This window comes from Homo sapiens, chromosome 12, assembly GCF_000001405.40.
Source record: "Homo sapiens chromosome 12, GRCh38.p14 Primary Assembly".
NCBI classification, from domain to species: Eukaryota; Metazoa; Chordata; class Mammalia; order Primates; family Hominidae; genus Homo; species Homo sapiens.
The window spans coordinates 67,308,209-67,328,031 of record NC_000012.12 but is presented as its reverse complement, the minus strand read 5'-3'; the positions used below and the strand labels follow the sequence as shown (position 1 = coordinate 67,328,031).

General features: G+C 39.4%; 1 protein-coding gene across 4 annotated transcripts in view; it reads right to left on the bottom strand.

Annotated features, from left to right (window-relative positions):
• CAND1 (cullin associated and neddylation dissociated 1) overlaps positions 8,079-19,823 on the bottom strand; it is a 50,596-nt gene continuing 38,851 nt past the window's right edge. For all 4 annotated transcript variants that reach the window (NM_001329674.2, NM_001329675.2, NM_001329676.2 and 1 more), the window contains 4 exons: positions 17,962-18,131; positions 17,716-17,880; positions 16,232-16,339; positions 8,079-15,426 (listed from right to left, as the gene is read on the bottom strand). In NM_001329674.2, the coding sequence (NP_001316603.1) occupies positions 15,202-15,426; positions 16,232-16,339; positions 17,716-17,880; positions 17,962-18,131 (668 nt within the window). In that variant the 3' untranslated portion in view covers positions 8,079-15,201. The remainder of the gene's footprint in view (positions 15,427-16,231; positions 16,340-17,715; positions 17,881-17,961; positions 18,132-19,823) is intronic.

Genomic DNA, 19,823 nt, shown 5'->3' with positions numbered 1-19,823 from the left:
CCTGGAATATCTTGAAATATGGAAGTTATTTATTCATTTATTCAATCATTTATGTATATACCATGTGCTTATTATACATTAGTGAGATAATAAATCAACAGACAAAATCCCTGCTCACATGGAACTTATGTTCTATGCCAGGAGACAGTTAAGGAACATATGATCCATAGGTTATATTGTACATTTAAAGGTGATAAATGTTATTGTATGGAAACAAAAGGGTAATAGAGATTGAGAAAGGCAGGATTGGTGACATTTAGGCAGACACTTGAAAAAGCAGAAGGAGTGAGCCATGTGGATATCTGGCATTGACACAGCACTCTGGGGACAGTGTTCCAGGCAGAAGGAAGAGCCAATGTAAATGTCATGCACCTGGCATGATCAATCAACAGCAAGGAGGCTAGGGTAGCTTTAGCGGAGTGAACAAGGGATAAAGTAGCTAGAGATGCAGTGAGAGAAGCAACGAGGGTTATTATATCATGAAGGGCCATGTAGGCTGTATGTAATAAGGTGTGTGGCATTTTCTGAGTTAAATGGAAGGCCAGTGGAGGCTTTTGAGCTATGGAATGGTGTAATGAGATTTACTTTCTTATAGGACCACTGATTGCTCTTTTGAGATTAGATTGGAGGAGAGCAAGTGAGGAAGCATCAAGGATAGTTGGGAGACTATTACAGCAACCCAGGCAAGCCAGAGATTATGATAAACTACACTAGACTGGTAGTATAGAAATGCTGAGAGGGGATCAGAGCCACAGACACATTTTGAAAGCAGAACAAACAGGATTTCCTAATAGATTGTATATGGTCTGTGAAAGAAAAGGAGGAATCAAGAATGACTTGCAGCCTTTTGGATTGAGTAGCTGGAAGGATGAGGCTATTACTACAGTGAAGAGCACTACAGGCAGAGAATTTATGAGGTAGAGAGTCAGGAGTTCAGTTCTGGATCTGTCAAGTTTGGGAAGCTACTTAGACAACCAAGTAGAGATGTTAAGTAGCTATAGTTGTATATACAGGGCTTAAGTTCAGGTGAGAAGTTCTGATTGGAGATATTGAGAGTTGTCAGTATAGATGGTATTTAATTCTATACTGCTGAGTTGATGAGTCCCCTAGGGAGTGAATGTAGATAAAGAGAAAAGACCCAAGATCTTAGTCAAGAAGAGGAGCAACAATAAAGATGACCAAGAAAAATGCTGATGATGTTCTTTTTCTTGTCCAGGGTGATAGTTACATAGTTACATGGGATATTAACATTTTGATAACTCATTCAGCCATACATTTATGAATTGTGATCTTTGCTCTGTATATGTCACACTTCAATAATTTTTTACCCCTCCCCCCTTCCTAGTCCCTTACTTTCTTGCTATTTCTTTATGGAATCATAAAGAAATTAACCCCTTCAGCAAATTTTCTCTTCTCTTCAATGCTGAATCTTCTACCAAACACATGGCATCTGCTCAGGGAACCGAAGTATTTTGAAATCTGTTTTTCTTTTCTTTTTTTTTTTTTTAGAGATGGAGTCTTGCTCTGTCACCCAGGCTGTAGTGCAGTGGCACAATCTTGGCTCACTGTAAGCTCCGCCTCCTGGGTTCACCCGCCATTCTCCTGCCTCAGCCTCCCAAGTAGCTGGGACTACAGGTGCCCGCCACCACGCCTGGCTAATTTTTGTATTTTTAGTAGAGACGGGGTTTCACCGTGTTAGCCAGGATGGTCTCGATCTCCTGACCTCGTGATCCACCCGCCTCAGCCTCCCAAAGTGCTGGGATTACAGGCATGAGCCACCGCGCCCAGCCTGAAATTTGTTTTAAATCAAATTAAATCTACCTTAGAATCTCACTATTCAAAGTGGCATACAATTCTTTGAATAGAAGTGGGACAGGCAATAGCTCCAAGGACAACGGATTGGGATGAGGGCCTTCTGTTCTTCACCACTGAGATGCTTGGTTTCCAAGCCCATGTGGCCCATTCTTCTGAGGAACTAAGTAATCTTTTTCCAAGGGCCTGTAAGCTATGGAATCCATAAGGCAGACAGCAATCCCTTTCAAAATCTTGAGCACTGTGTGGGGACACAGATCTTTCCCTGACAGTTGTACATATGTGCCCAACTCCCATTTTTCCCAGTCACAGAGAATCTCATTCTTTCCTCAACTCCCTACCACCTTGGGTTTCTCTCGACATACTCCTATATCCCACCTCTCTTCATCTCATTTGCCAAACATTCTCCTTCCAAACAAAAACTGGATTTCATTTGTTTGTCTTTAAGGCCCATGATAGTGCCTGTTTTCAGCCGTGAAACACAAATCTTATGAATACTTGAGGTAAGAAAACTCAGATGCAGAACACAGAGATTTGGCTAACTTTGGAAGATGAAGAAGGCAAAAACTCTTACCACTTTTCAGTTTTCAAGTTATTTTGGCCTGTAGGTTGTGTTCCTCTGGAAAGATCAGCTGTTCTCTTCAGATACGGGTGTTGGGTAAGAAGTCAATGTCAGATCCTTGTTTATATCCCATCTAGTGAGTTTAGGGAAACCAGAAAGTATGAGTTCTAGAGTGAAGAGCCCCAGGCACTACCTCCATTTGCTGCCATCCCTTAAAAAGACTCTTCTGGAAAGGGATTCTTCCTCATTTTTTAGCTTTTATTTTAGTTTCAGGGGCACACAGGTAAACGTGTGTCACAGGGGTTTGTTGTGCAGGTTATTTTATTGGCTTGTTTGTGTGGTTGCTTTATAGTGACACTGGTCTGTGTGTTTATATTAGCTGGTAGCAGTCTTTCTATATTTAGTGCTCCTTTCAAGATCACTTGTAAGGCAGGTCTGTTGGTAATGAATTCCCTCAACATTTACTTATCTGAAAAGAATCTTATTTCTCCTTCACTTAGGAAGCTTAGTTTGGCTGGATATGAAATTCTTGGTTGCAGACTTTTTTTCTTTAAGAATGTTGAATATAGACACCCAATCTCTTCTGGCTTGCAGGGTTTTAGCTGAGAGGTCCACTGTTATCCTTATGAGATTCCCTTTGTAAGTGACCTGCCCCTTCTCTCTAGCTGCCTTTAACATTCTTTCTTTCATTTAGGACTTGGAAAGTCTGACAATTATGTGTCTTGGGGATGATCTTCTTGTGTAAAATCATTCAGTTCTCCATATTTCCTGAATTTCACTGTTGGCCTCACTAGCAAGGTTGGGGAAGTTTTCATGGACGATATCCTGAGATGTTTTCCAAGTTGTTTGCTTTCTCCCAGTTCCTTTCCGGAATGCCAATGACTTATAGATTTGGCCTCTTGACCTAATCCCATACTTCTCAGAGGTTTTGTTTATTTCTTTTTATTCTTTTATCTTTATTTTTGTCTATCTTATTTCAGAGAACCAATCTTCAAGCTCTGAGATTCTCTCCTCAGCTTGGTTTAATTCTGCTATTAATACTTGTGATTGCATTGTGAAATTCTTGTGTTATTCAGCTCTGTCAAACTCACTTAGGTCCTTTTTCATACTGGCTGTTTCATTTTTCAGCTCCCATAATGTTTTATTGTAATTTTTAATTTTTCTTGGATTGGGTTTTGCCATCCTCCTGAATCTCAACGATATTCATTCCTATCCATATGCTGGATTCTATTTCTGTCATTTCAGACAGTTCAGGCTGGTTAAGAACTCTTGTTGGAGAATTGGTAAAGTAATTTGGAGGATATACAACACTCTGGCCATTTGAGTTACAAGACTGCTTGTGTTCATTCTTTCTCATCTCTGCACGTGGGTGTTCCTTTAGCTGTAGTGTGGATTGAGTAGTCAATAGATTTCTTTTCTGGATGTTTTCACCAGGCTGAAGCTTTGTGCAGGGTCTTTATTTGAAGCTGGCTTCTTGTCTCTGGTTTCAGAGTAGAGTAGGTTAGTGAGGTATTTTTGGTGTTGAAGCTTTGGAGTGTAATCCAGCAAGTGATATTTAGGATTATTTGTCAGTTGGTAGACTCCTGGTCAGTTGTATGGCTCCCCTGTGTTTCCTCACAGTTGCAGTCATGTTCCCTTTCAAGGCCCTGAAAGTGTGGGTTCCTCTCCCACTTGAGTGTTGGCTGTAGCTTGTGGCTTGGTGTTCCTGGGATGCCCACTGCAGTTCTGAGGCAATCTCTGTGTTTATATTCCTTCCCCAACTTGTATGCAGATGAAGAAGGGACCTTAGTAGTGATTGTGGCCAAGGGTCTTTTGCTTGTTTCCTTGAGGCCCCACCCCAGAGAGATGCAGGTCAGCAATCTCTCAGTGCAGTCCACCCAGGATAAAGGGTCTGTGCTGTAGGCCCAATCCAAGGATTCCGTTTGGTGATGAGCAGTTGGGGGCGGTGGGTGTGGGACCCGTGTAAGACAGACTGGCCTCCTCTCCTTGGGTTGACTGCAGCTTGTTGGAGGGGTGGATAAAGTACTTAGGGTCTTTGCTCCTTCATTAGTCTGAGGGTAGCAAGGGCAGTTCCACTGCAGAAGCAGTGGCAGAGAGGCTTTCAGTTGTCCCTGGAGGCTCTGTTCAGGTCAGGGAGTTCCCGAGTTGCTACTGGCTCAATAGCTCTGGCAGGGGTTGGCTAGAGGTCCAGGCCTTGAGGACCTACCTCAAGAGATATGGAAATGGCACCCGTGTAACAATCTGGCCACTTTTCTGTCAGGCTGTTGCACTGTGCTGGGGACCCACTCTAGTCCCTGGTTGCTGCAGATTTTCTAGTACCTGGTCCAGTGCAGACTGTGAAACATCAAAGATGGGTAACCTGCCCTTCCCTCTGGGAGCTTTGTTCCAGGGAGGTATGGACCTGTTGCCGGCCCAAACACACCTGTAGGAGGTGGCTGGAGACCCTGGTTAGGAGGTCCCACCCAGTGAGGAGGAATAGGATCAGGGACCTACTTGAAGCAGTCTGGTCACATTTTGGTGGATCAGCTGTGCTGTGCTGGGGTACCCTTTCCACCTCCGGTTGGCTCAGACTCTCCAAAACCCAAAGGCTGGAACAGCTAAGTCGCCCAAACAGCAATGATGGCAGCCTGCCCCTCCCTCTGGGAGCTCTCTCCCAGGGAGAATTCAAGTATCTGTCAGCTGGAGAACACTGGCAGGGGTGGCTGGAGGCCCCAGTCAGTGAGAAGGAATGGGATTGGGGTACCTGCTTAAAGAAGCAGTCTGGCCATATTTTTGTAGCGCAGCTGTGCTGTACTGGGAAATCCCTCCCACCCCCAGTCGGCTTGGACTTTCCAAAGCCTGAAGGCTGGCGTGGCTAAATTGCCCAAACAGCAGCGGAGATGGCGGCTCACCCCTCCCCCAGGGAGCTCCATTTCAGGGAGGCGCAAGGCGGCTACCAGGGGCTGGCTGGATTTCCAAGCCCGTGGGTCTTCTCCTATGAGATGCTGTGGAAGTGGGGCCTGCAGACTGTCACTGCGCAGCCTCTTGGATTCAGCCACTTTCCTACGGGTATATACGGGGGTCTAATCTCCCGCTTTGCAGGAGTTGCGGTTACTTTGCTGGAAAGCTTGATTTTCTAAGGCTTCTGGGTCTCCACCCATGCCTGAGCAGCTACTCTGCTAAGACTCTATGTAGCTCTGTCTGTCAGACTGAAGGCTCTGGTGAAGTGTGTTCATGAGATCTCCTGATCCCCGCGTTGCGATGATCCATGGGAGAAGCCTGGGTTCCCAGGGTCACACATTCACTCACCACTTCCCTGGGTGGGGGAGGTTCCCCTGGCTCGGTGTCACTCCCAAGTGGGCTGTTGTCCTGCCTTGCTTTTCTTTGTTCTCTGTGTGTCAAGTTGTTTCCTTGATTAGTCCCAACGCAAGTACCTGGATGTTTCAGTTGAAGGTGCTGTAGTCACCCTTCTCATTCCTCTCTCTCAGAGCCATGCACACTTCCTGTTTCTCTTCCACCATCTTCAATTTATGCCAGGGTTCGTCCTTTGAAAGAATCCACCTCAGCACATTTTATCAATTTTAAGCTTTTCTCTTGCTAGATTCTCTTGGTTTCCTAGGTGTGTGGTTATGTCACACACAAAAACGATAGCTTTACTTTCTAACTCACATTATTCATTATATTTTCTCGCTTTATTTCATTTTTTGGAAACCTCCAAGACCATGTTATACAATGCTATATAATGCTAGTAGTTTATCTTCTGACTTTAAATAAAATTGTTTTAATGTTTCACTGTTTAGGATACTATTTATTACTGGTTTCTGACAACTAGTCTTTATAGTTTTACTACTTCACTAATACTTTTACATTGGTATATTTTCTAATATTGAGCCATCAGAGGATTCTCAAAACATAAGAGTAGAATATTCCCCTCAAAATACATTTCATAACATTCCTTTCCCTCCCTTAGAAAATGGGAGTAACATGAAGAATCCAGTGTGGACTATTAAGGTTCTGTAGTCAGTCACTTATGAATAAATGTATTTTTTAAAATATATTTTTTGAGTAATTACTATGTGTTACTGAACCAAACTTAGGTCCATCCACCTGGTACAGCAAAGCCAAACACCAACACCAAGATCTGCACTGAGAGAAAGTAGGCATTCATTGCAGGGCACCAAGCAAGGAGAACTGGGCAGCTAATGCTTAAGACTCAAACTCCCCAGTGCCCTCCATGCAAAGGTTTTTAAAGGCGGTGAGGCAGAGTTTATAGGCAGTCATAAATCAATACATGGAGGTTATACATTGGTTTGGCCCTAAAAGGTGAGATATCTCGAAGCAGAGGTTTACAGGTGATAGGTGGATTCAGAGATTCTTCAATTCACCATTGGTTAAGGAAGCAAGGCTTTGTATAAAAACTTGGGGTCAGCAGAAAGGAATGTTAAGGGTTGGCCTGAGGGTATGACTCTGCAGGCCCCTCAGATAGAAATTTAGAACAAAGAAGTTCAGCCCTCAGTTCCTCCTTAACTGAGGTTTACATGACAGTCAGCATTTTCCATCAGGTGGGGGTTCAGGTTTCTGAAAAACAACTCAAGCACAAGTGTCAAGATGTTATTTTTAGTTTCTATGGGAACCAAACATCTTGTGACTCGAACTTACTTGGGTGACTATTGTTCAAGCTATTATTACCTTCTTGCTTATCAAGTTGCTCATTTACTTCACAAGGCTAGCTAGGTGCTTGGAATTTTCCTTAATTTCCATGCTTGGAGGGATCCGGCAGGCCCCTAAGAGGAGTCCCTGCCCTGTCTCATGTGTGTGTGTGTTAACCTTCTTAGTATGTTGGGGGAGACTCTTCTTTCAGACTACTACATATAACTCAATTTGACTAATGAGGAAATAGACCTAGTGAGGCAGGAGAACAGGCTCTGGAGACAGGGAACTTAAGGGCAATTTGTGCTAACTTTTTAAAAGAGAAATCACCAAGGTCTGGGGGCAGGAAATCTAAGGCCAAATCACGCTGACTTCCCAGAGCTGGATCTAAAAGAAAATACCTGGGTCTGGGGGCAGGAATCCTAAGGCCAATCAACACAAACTTCCTAAAGCTAAACCCAAAGGGAAAAACCCCATCTCCCCAAGCGAAGTAACTAAGGATCAAAGGCTACTCTCTCTACAACCCTCCCACTTCCACCACATCTGAGATGGAAAGGAAGAGTACCCTGGATTGGCTGAGGGCCACACAGGGACCATCTCTTCGTGTGCATAGGGTGCCAATTCACCTCAGCCTTTAGCCACAGACCAAATACTTCATCCAGATAAGGGGTAGATGATAAGAACCTCAAATGGGATACTTAAAGCCCAGAAAACTTTGTAACTGGGCCCTTGAGCCACTTGCTCAGGCCCACTCCCACCCAGTAGAGTGCTTTCTCGCTTTCATAAAATTCCTGCTTTTGCTGCTTCATTCCTGCATTTCATTCCTCTGCTACTTTGCGCGTTTTGTTCAGTTCTTTGTTCAAAATGCCCAGGACCTGGACAATTCGTAGTCAAGCCCCTCCACTGGTAACACTAGATACATTAATAATTTGCCCAAAGTCCCACTCTCAAGAAGTGGTAGAACCAGATTTAAACCCAGGTTTAGAGCCTGAGCTTTTACAACTATATTATAATGTTTCTCAGTAAAGCATTACCAAAGACCAAGAAATAACAGATGCTTCAAGATGGCAAAAAATCTGATGTGCTTATATTTATTGTGTCAAAATTCTACTGAAATGACAGTAAATATTTTTTAAAAGGAATGAATCCAAAACCATATATAGAGCAAGAAGGAAGGCCCAAGAATTTTGGAAATTCTGACAAATTTCTAGAAGGCAGAAAGCTGGGGGCATCAGAGTACAGAAAGTCACAAACCAGACAAGGAGGGGTTACTTTTAGTCCAGACAAGTGACTCCAAGCTGAGTCTTTAGATACAGAAACTGGAACTACGTTGGCAGTATTCAGTTTGACATTAAGGGCTGTTTGTGAACAGCTGGACTAGTCGGCCCTTCCCATACCCTCAGTAACCATCAGCAATGGTATGGAGGAGGGGAATAGCAGTATCTGCACCAACGTTAACAGACAGACAGGTGCTTTTAAAAGGAATTTGACAATATTACGTGCCTGAAAATGGAGTCAGGTTCCAAACATGGGAGTTGGCCCTTGGATTATGCCCTCTTCATTACTTGTCCAGGGAAGACTTCCTGGAGTCCTTGACCTAACCTACAAGATGAAAAGCAGCCAGCTAAGTAAAACAAAAGAGAAGTCAAGTCATTCCAGGCAAAAGGCATAACTTGACCTTGAGCAAACTTGAGAAGGCAAGGGAAATATTTTATAGTTGTCAGAAGAAAAAGTTAGTCCTAGTTGTGAGAGATGCTGAGGCTGGTGGGGCAGGCAGTAACCAGATCTAGTTTGTACTTATCCTATGGGCAAAAGAGAGACAGTGAAGGATGTAGTGCAAAGATGAAATGGTCAGGACCATTGTTTTGCAGCTGTGTAGAGGAAGGACTGGGAATTAATGCCTTCTGGGTATTTTAATGTGGTGGTTTCCAAGGTGTGGCCTTGGGGAACAGCATTAGAACCTGGGAACGTCATAGAAATACAAATTACTGGTTTACTACAGCCTACTGAACCACAGCCTCTGGGTGTAGGGCCCAGCGATCTGTTTTAATAAGTCTTACAGGTGACTGTGATGCACACTCATTTGAAAACTATTCTTCTAAGAGCTCATTCCTCAAGACATTTCATCTCCTTTATGAATTGTTTCTGTCTCACTCATGTTGAATGGACCATACCCTCAATTATTAACCCCCAGTATCCCGTGTATACCTCTCATACAGCAGAATTTTATGGTGCTTCCTTATGTCAGTCTTCCCATGATAATCAGCAAGCTTCTTCATATCAAGTACAGTCTCAACAGCTTTTGTAGCCCTGGCAGCACCCTAAGCGCGTAATAAATTGGCTTGCTAAATGAATGAACACAAAAATAACGATTAGCAGGCATTTGCCGCAGTCCAGTCAATAGATAAGGAGGAAAAGAGGTCTTAAGCCAAAAGCATGAGAGATATTTAGGAAAGAGATATTTAGGAGATGGGCATGAGAGATATTTAGGAAATAAAAGGGACAGAATGCTAGTAAGAGTTAACAATTATATTACTTAGTATGTCCCAGGTACTGTTTTAAGTGCTTTATACAATGTTCCTATTTAATCCTCACAATAACCCTATAAGGTGCAAATATTTTAATTCCCATTTTATAGATAGGGAAAGTTGAGGTTAAATTATTTGCCCAAGTCTAACAGCTAACAGCCAGGATTCAAACTAATATGATATATGATGTCTATCTATCTGTAGAGTCCTTGTTTTTTTTGAGACAGGGTCTCGCTTTGTCACCCAGGCTGGAGTGCAGTGGTGCATGCAATCTTGGGTCACTGCAACCTCCACCTCCCAGGTTCAAGCAATTCCCCTGCCTCAGCCTCCCACACAGCTGGGACTACAGGCATGTGCCACCACGTCTAGCTAATTTCTTTGTGTTTTTTTAGCAAAGACGGGGTTTCGCCATGTTGGCCAGACTGGTCTCGAACTCTTGACCTCAAGCAATCCACCTGCCTTGGCCTCCCAGAGTCCTTGTTCTTTATCATATTCTGCCTCCAAACTCTTGCTAAGTGAGGCTTTTAGATTTCCAGTTTGAATGACTGGGTAAATGGGATGCCATCAGCAAAGAGACAGGAAAAACCAGGGCAAGATGATGACTTCAGCTTTAGATATGCTGTGTTTGAGATACCTTTATGAGATGTATAGCAGGTGGTTGGATATAATAGTCTGAAACAGGGGCATGGACTGGGCTAGATGTATAGATTAAGAAACTGGCTGGGGGACGTGGCTCACGCCTGTAATCCCAGCACTTTGGGAGGCCGAGGCGGGTGTATCACCTAAGATCAGGAGTTTGAAACCAGCCTGGCCAACATGGCAAAACTCCATCTCTACTAAAAATACAAAAATTAGCTGGGCATGGTGGCACACGCCTGTAATCACAGCTACTTGGGAGGCTGAGGCAGGAGAATAGCTAGAACCCGGGAGGCAGAGGTTGCAGTGAGCCGATATTGCGCCACTGCACTCCAGCCTGGGAGACAAAGCAAGACTCCATCAATCTCAAAAAAAAAAAAAAAAAAAAAAATTAAGAAAGAAAAAAAAAGAAAAAAGAAATCAACAACATGTGGCTGGGCAAGGAGGCACTTGCAATAATCTCAGCAGTTTAGGAGGCCAACACAGGATTGCTTGAGCCCAGGAGTTTGAGATCATCCTGGACAAGGTCATGAGACCCCATCTCCACAAGGAAATAAAAAAATTAGCTGGACGTGGTGGCACACACCTATACTCCCAGCTACTCGGGAGGCTGAGGTGGGAGAATCACTTGTGCCCAGGAAGCTGAGGTGCAGTAAACCATGTTCGTGCTATGTACTCCAGTCCAGGCAACAGAGTGAGACCTTGTCTTAAACACAAAAACAAACCTGTGAGGCCATTTGCACTTCAGTTTCCCTTAAATATTGTTCACTAGGTATTTCAGCCCACACGTCTTCTCATTATATGTAATCCTTATTCTTTTAGGGCCATCTCATCCATTCTTATGGTTGCATGTTGTTGATTTCTTTTTTCTTCTTTTTGGTAGAGACAGGGTCTCACTATGTTGCCTAGAGCTGGTCTCCAACTCCTGTCTTCAAGTGATCCCCCACCTTGGCCTCCCAAAGTGCTGAGATTACAGGCGTGAGCTGCCATCTGGCCCTGAAGTACAATTCTTTACTATTTTTTTGAGAGCATTCTAGACTAAAATCACTTAATATCCATCAACCATTACTTACTGGCAATAGCAAATTAATTCCAATACTTCCTAATCTGGAAACAATGTCACTTTACATAGCATAAGCTTTCTGTCTTCTAAGACCTCAGCAAAATAATTAAACTTGCTAAAATCACCACTAGAAAGTTATGAAGAGGACAGGGTATTAAGATTCCAAAACAAAATTAGGTATTTCTGTCTACTAAATATCATTCTGAAACCTGACACACTGGCATTATAGGGTCCAAAAAAGTAAAATTATATGCATTACTCACTTCAGTAGTTTTTGGATTCAGAGCTAACTTTCTAAGTTACAAAGAGCAAAAACATGTTGCTGAAAGATCTTGCCTGAAACTACAGCAAAGGTGTTTACAAAATCTTTTCTGATATTCATAGGAAAACAAGCAATTTACTGTATTGGAAAAGGAAAACATATGATTTCATTTTGCATTTCCTTTAAGAAAACAGCCTTATCTGATGAGATTTGGGTAGCCTGTAGCCAAATACTTCCACTGTGTTCCACTTTTGCAACCAAAATTATCAAATGAATTTTATTTAAATGGAAAAGTCAGTTAAAACCAGAATATCCTTTGTCCAATCAGTCAATAAACTATTACCATACTGTCAATTTTCCATTCCATAAACAAGATTTCAAAAACAGGTATGAATCTGGGGTAGCAGTGGTTTGAAAATTAGGATTCAATTTAAAACAGAGCTAGAATCCAAAATTTACTTGCTGAAATGTTTAAGGTCTTTAATTTCAAAACACTTACTAAGCATAATATATCCAGAGATTGGCAATTAATTTTAACAATTTAGGTCTTTAGTAAAATTAATGTGGGCAGAAAATGTTACTTCATTACAAAGTGTTACTATATACTTTGTCTTGTGACTAACTAGAGCTTACAGGAGTATAAACAAGTTAACTGAATTTTTCAGTGGCTGAGGATTTTGTATACTTCCTCATTTTGAACTTCAATCATGACTATATAATCATATTCATACATCTGAGACTGAACTAGATATAAAGATATCACAACACCCACTAGAACTGGTTAATTAGATATGCCCATTATTTCTTCACTATTTACCGAAGAAAAGTATGAAGAAAAAAAGACTAATTTGGTTTAATTATGGTTACATAAAAATTATGTAAATATTCAAACATTTGATGAAATCATCATACTCCAACCATAAAGAATTGTAATTCCTAATGGTTAAGCAGCTTTCAGATATCATTAATAAAATACATGACTGTCATTAAAAAAATTATCATTCAGTGCTATTGATTTTATAAATAACCTTTTAGGTTAGGCCCTGCCATACCAAATTTCCTTCCTGCCTTTTTTTTTTTTTTTTTTTTGAGACAGACTCTCGCTCTGTTGCCCAGGCCAGAGTGCAGTGGCGTGATCTCGGCTCACTGCCAGCTCCGCCTCCTGGGTTCACGCCATTCTCCTGCCTCAGCTGTAGCAGCTAGGACTACAGGCGTCTGCCACCACGCCCAGCTAATTTTTTGTATTTTCAGTAGAGATGGGTTTTCACAGTGTTAGCCAGGATAGTCTCGATCTCCTGACCTCGTGATCCGCCCGCCTCGGCCTCCCAAAGTGCTGGGATTACAGGCGTAAGCCACTGCGTCCAGCCCTCTGCCTTCTTTTAAAATAAATCAGGTAGACCTAAACTAACTTAAATGTTCTCATGAAAATCAGTAAACAGCTTGGTTTTGTATTAACTTTTAGATCTCCTCAGGAACCTACATGTGACAAATTCCTAAGTTTAACACCTTAATATTACTAGTAAGTAGCATGAGTGGTAGACTATGTCTGGACTCCACATCCTGCCACTTCCATTCCAGTATCTGGACCACATCACCACTAGGAGTATGGAGTTAATCATCAGTATGACACAGCATTGAAATTCTAAGCACTGCTGTTACTAATTTTGTTAATGTATGCATATAAACAGGTATATAAACACTAAAGCCATAAAAGAGCAGTATCTATTTCTTTAGTACTAAAAGAATTTCAACTGTTAGAAAAATGAATTGGCTTAAGAGACAAAAACAAAGCAAAACAAAACAAAACATGCATCTTGAAAGTTAAAAACAAACAAACTGAAGAAAAAGCCAGTTGAAGTATTTGGATTTAACTTTACCCAACTAAGACATTCACACAACATATGCATGTCAGTCTCCTGTTCAGTCCTAGAGCCTGCAGTATTGTAATTTATTGTAAAACCATGTAACCAAATACTTAAATATATCCACAACATCTATACCACAGAAATGCATAGTACATAATATACTAACATCTCAAAATAAACTTCTATTACAGTTTTATGCAAATTATGGTAAAAGATTATCACCTGCCACATTTTGAAATGGCACCAACTTCAACATCAATGCACTAGTCAAAATCCTTACTAGAAGTGATGTCTTCTGCATTATCATCTGAACATTCAAAATCAAGCTGTTAATCTAATAACCACAGTATGTTATCATTTAAAATCACTGTATATTTGGATGTTAAAGCAGGTAGTAATACAGCAGGAAAAGTGTTTCTAATTCACAGTTTCAAAACTAAAGGGTGCAGTTTTCAAATATCTGATTGCTTAAATTGGTCACTCAATTTAACAACTGCCTCCTTCAATACATGTAAACTATGTTTGCACAGCATTAGGAGATGTCTTTTATTTCAGAATTAGTTCTTACTGTTACAGGAGCACCACAAATTTTAAGGAAGAGGCTACAGTGTGAAATGAGCTCACTGAAGGATATGTTAAATAAAATTTTAACTACAATATAAGGTACTGCAAAAGCTTTGTTCCCCAGCACAGATCCCTTAATCAGGAAAAGTAGTGAACACTTACCCAATACAATATGTAAATTCGCTCTACAGGAGATGGGGAAAAACCTAACTCAACTAAAAGAAAATACTATTATTAGCTAACAAACCTGTGATAGCTGGCTTCAGAATTTTCCTAAAAATAAAATTCAAAAGCATACACAGTATTTATATCCTTTGATAAGGAATGTAGACATCCAAACGGAATGAAAGAAAAATCTGGTTTTAAGAATTTCTAAGTGGAATCACACACACACAAATGGGTAACTGAGAAAAACTAAATATTCAAAATTTAAGTAAGAAGATTTATAATAGAAAAAAGTGGCAAATTGTTACTGTGACTTGATTTTCTGAAAACATCTGCAAATTCACACTGGCATTAAGAAAACCCAAGTCTCAAAAATTCTCCTTTCTTTCTCTCCAGATAATGTGTTTTCTGTGCAAAAATAAATATCTGAAAATTGCACTAATACTTATTTTAACTTCTATATTATGAATAATCTGCACATGCTGCTTTACAGACGATACATATTTGTAAACTTACTCATGCAAAATTAGTGTGCGCAACAGGGATATTGTTAATTTTCATACTTAAAAATGATACCTTATTATCTTTTAAAAATTGCCAAACTCTCTGAAATGGTTAACAAATCTTATATGGATATTCTTGTCTGCCAGCTAAAAATCAATTTATGTTGCTGAAAACAAAAAGTTATACAAGAAAAAGAAACATGGTTTTTGTTTTGCAAGATTTTTGATTTTTAAATGAGAAAATTTATAAAAGAAAGAAATTCATGGTCACAAAATTTTAACATTTTAATCCTAAACATTACAGGGTAAATAGATACTGGACCCTATCTCCATACTCCATAAAATCCTAACTTTTAGTTTCCATTTCAAATGTTGCTGTAACCACTAAAACACTAGTGGTTTTACAACCTCTGGATTATGGAAATACACATTTCTGAAATAAATGCTACAAAAACAACAATGGAAGAAAGCCAAACAAACAGTCTCCATGAAGGAAAAAAAAGTGGAACATTTTGAAGCTTTTAGACACTTCTCTTTCCATGTCTTATGATTAACCTGTCAATTCAGTGCATTGTATGGTCATATGTAATGGTCCCCATGGTGAACAAACATCTAACTAGTGTCCATTGATTCCAAGTTAGTAGATGATGAATCTTTCTGGATACTTTCAAAGATAGCCGCCAGCTCAGGGTTAGAACTGATCTGTGACTGGAATTCACTCATCAGTGGACTCTTCTCTGCTTCTGGAATGGTTAGCAGTGCTGCTACTGCTCTCATGGCAGATCGCTTTAATTCATCTTGTTTTTCAAACTCCTGCTTTACTGAGTTTGCCTTTACCTGTAAGATGGAGTAAACTTAGATTACATGCTATAAAAGACAGCTCTTACATGAACAAAATTTAAGCACATAAGATCTTCCTGCTAAAAGCTACTCTCGTAGGTCCATAAGGCATATTACATTCTAAGAACAACTGTTTTTAAACTTATTTTTAAAGTAGCTGTCTCCTTTTCTTTTAAGGGAATATTTTACACAAAGCCCCATTATAAAAACAGAAAATCTAGACCCAAATGATTGTAACAAAGAGAGTAGGACACTCTTTGTTTCAACTATCTGCTTAGCAAGTCTCACACTTTAGCCCCCATCAAGAAAGTACTCCTCTAGCTACCCTATTCTTTGCTATACTCTATTATTCACTTTTTCAAACACACCATATGATGACATCTCCAGGCCTTTATTCAAAGCCCGTTTCATCTTCTTGGTCTAAAAAAAAAAAAATCTTGATTTTTCGAGGTTCATTGCAAATGTTGTCAACCTAATATGAAACCTTCTGACTCCCCTTCCAACCAGAATTAAAAATTTCCTCTTTTGTGGCCTGATCACATTTTATCCCATATCAGTACTTCAAATATGTATCAGTACTTCAAAATGTTAACATATTGATATAGCAATAAACAAAAACTTTTAAGAATAGCCGTTAACAGGGCTAAGTTTTATAAAATATCAGTATTCGATAGGTTAACTTTTTAAACCAACTGCTACACAGAGCACTGGAATAGTTATATTTGGAAAGCTAGAGAAAAGAATTGGCTAGGAATCCCCAATACACCAAGTCTGACCTAGGTTGATACTTATCATTTCTTACCTTAGTTGTACATGTTGCACGTAATGGCTCAACAAGTCGGTCCAACCTCTGCAGTACTGCACTTGGACAAAGGGTAGACAGTCTCACCAACATTAAAAATGTCAGCATCTATTAGGAATAAAAAAGACAGAATTTAGATTTGACATCATTTTCTAAAAACAAAATACTAAATTCTGACAAATCCTTTAAAGGAAAATAACTAGCATGCAAAGTAAACCTTCCTTTTAATGTAATCTGCCAATCAGAATCAGACAGATTTGTCTCAAACAGATATAAGAACTAGAAAAGTGGTTTTCAATCTTGGTTGCACATTAGAATCATCCAGAGAGCTTTAGAAACATACCCATTCTTCAAGCCCCATCCCCAGAGAGTTTTACTGAACCTGTCAGAATATGGCACACATTATTTTTTTTATTTTTATTTTTTAAAGCTCATGTGCACCAGAATTGAGAATCATAGAACTAGAAAATTACTGAACTGGAACACAATTTCATAATAAGTTTCCACTATCATAACAGAGTTGACCAGTTATTCAGATTAATCCATGTAAAACCTGATAACCCATAAACCTTTTTCTCTTGGACTATAAACTCATAGAATTAAACAAGCACATCCTTTTACTTCTTGGTGGGGAGGCCCTCTTCATTGAACTTTGAGAGGCTCAGGTCACTACCACACATGGAAACCTAAGAGTAGGAGTTCGGGTAGTATGGCTCAATTACTGCTGAGTTACCACTTTTGTCCTGCTTGGCCAAAAGCCCTAAATGGAAGAGTAGATGAAAAAGACACAATGCATATATTTTTCATTTTTCAAATCACCCTTTTACTGTTCACATTTTAAATGGAGACGAACACACAGGAAAACAAAGAACACTTATATGCAAAATTCATTATCCAAACATAAGACGCAGTATGATTTCTCTCAAGTAGCTTCTACAGATTGTTTTGTATATCTGAAAAGTTCCATGTCCTATAACAAAATTCTTGATATTAAACACAGTATATTATATTGAAAAACAAAAATTCCTCATTCAGGTAAATGATACAGTTACAATTCAGACTAGCCCCAAAGGTAGCTCAGGAGACTTAATCAAGACAATGCTAAGAAAACCCTCCATGGGTAGCAACTATGGTCCAATGTTAAGACAGGCCAAAAAGTTACAGATTTATACTTTAAACAGCAAAATCTGTCGGGACTTTTTTGAGGGAAAGGATCTAGGGACTATTCACTAAGCAAGTGGGCACACAGCATTTTGCATCCACTGCCACTTCCTCCTCCAATAAAAAGGGCTCTGGATCTTTCTTACACGTCAACTGGTGTTACACTGCCTATTACTTTTGCACTTTATAGTTTACAATATGCTTATCAAAATCTTCACAGACAACCTGATTTTTCTCAGACACATGAGTAAATTACAAGGGTGAAAGTTGCTCTAGCAAAGTCTTCTTCTAAAACATTGTATAAATAGGCACAAACATCTTACCTTAATATCATAATGGTCCTTCAAACCATCTTCAACATGATTTAGAAATTCAAAGATATCAAGTCTATCAAGACAACTGTCTAGAAGTGTGTACATACACTCAAATGCTGCCTTTCTAATATCCAGACCATCATCAACCGTATGTTTAAATGGACCCATTTCTACCTGTTAAAGCAAAAAAGAACGTGTGGATATACAATACTTAAGTCAAAGACAAGCTCAAATAAACAGTGTGATCTAACTTACCTCTCTTATAAGCTCCTTTCTAACTTTTGTTTCATTGTAAAGATGTGGAAGAACAGTATCCAATAGATCCCTTATTAATGATGGCTTGTTATGTGCTGCTGAATTAAATGTGACCAAGGCTACTCTTCTCACATTCAAATCTGGGTCTTCCAAAGTTTTTAGGAAATCACCTGAAATATTACAAGAAAAGCAACAGACAGACATGATAAACTTAAAATACAATATACATTATATTTTCTCTAAGTTGATATAATTTATTTTTGCTGGTGTCATTGTTATTTCTTCAGTGACGGTCAGGGAAGAACCTGATGAAACACTAAGTGAACCATAACGTTTCTTTCAGCAGCAACGCAACTATCATTTCTGAAGGTGAATATATTTTCAATTGATAATCCACTCTCAGCACTTATAATGCAGAGGGTATGGAAGAAGAGTCCATAAAGTTCCTCAATATCACTTCTATAGATATAAGATATGACAGAGACAGAGCTAAAAAGACTAATCACATGCTTGATTCTCCTTGTAGTTCACTAAAAGCAGCAACAAAAATATTTTTAAACTAAGTTCAAAATAAGAATAAAAAAATGAAGTGAAGACAGACCCACTGCTTAATAAAGATGGAGTACTATTAGCAGATATACAATTAATCAAATGAAAGAGAAACGTGCCTCCAAAAGCCCTACTTTATTTCTGTCTTCAGTAAGAAATACACGAATTCACAGGAAAATAATATAAAAGGAGAAAATTGAAAGCTAACATAGGACAAAAGCCAGAGAAGCCATCTAGGTATTTTAAAAGTCTGCTTACTCTTGCAAATGTGGGCAAGAAAGTATAATGCAAAGATCTTTGGAGTCACATGGTTGGTGGTTCAAATCATTTTACTTGTTAAATGTATGATTTTGTGCAAGTTACTTTAGGCAAGAACCTCAGTTTCTCAGTCAATAAAATGAGGATTATAAACCTTTTAGAGCTATACTGAGCAGAATAAACGGCGCATATATTGTTGAAGACAATGTCTAGTACACACTAAGTATTCACATGTAGCTATTATTCATCATTATATGATCTCAACTCTATCATCAGCAATCTTTTAGAATACACAGGGAAATGTAGGAGAGATAAAAGACTTGAATGCCAACTTGAAAAACCTGCAATTTGAAAATATGGGAGGAAAGAGAGACTTCAGATACTGTAGATTGGGAAACCCAATGTTGATATCCAAGAAAGTTCCAGCACTGATTTAAAAAAAAAAGTCTGAGAAACAGCGTGGTTTCAAAAACAATATAAATGTACCAAACTAATCTCCCCTCCCCTTTATTTGCATACTAAACTGGTAGATTAGAAGAGTAATTACAATAGAGTATATATCCGCTTTCAGTAAAGCATCTAAAATATTGCTATTATGGACAAAATGGTGTCATGAACTAGCAATTTCAATTTTTAAAAAGTTTCCCAGGTGGTTCTGATGTTCAAATAGTCATGAATACTTAACTAGATCATAATTCAATTAGAATGCTAACTACCTGGCTGAGTAACTGTATCAACAATGCATACTGGTTGACTGCTGTCAACATGGAAAGATATTTCTAGAGATATGGCATGGGCCTCTTCCTCTGTCCTATTTTGCATAATACCAATGTCCTCAATAAACATATCAAAGCAGAAAATGTGTGGGGGAAATGCCAATAAGTTGTTTCTCATATAGACTTTAAATAATTTCTAGGCCCTAGCAATAGAACCCATTTGTGCCTGTGCTTTCCTTATTCTGAATTGGCAATCCCTTTCTATGCAGTTCAAATTTTATATTGTATTTTTTTTCTTTCTGGCACACTGAAGAATGGCACAAAGCTACAAAGCTTCTT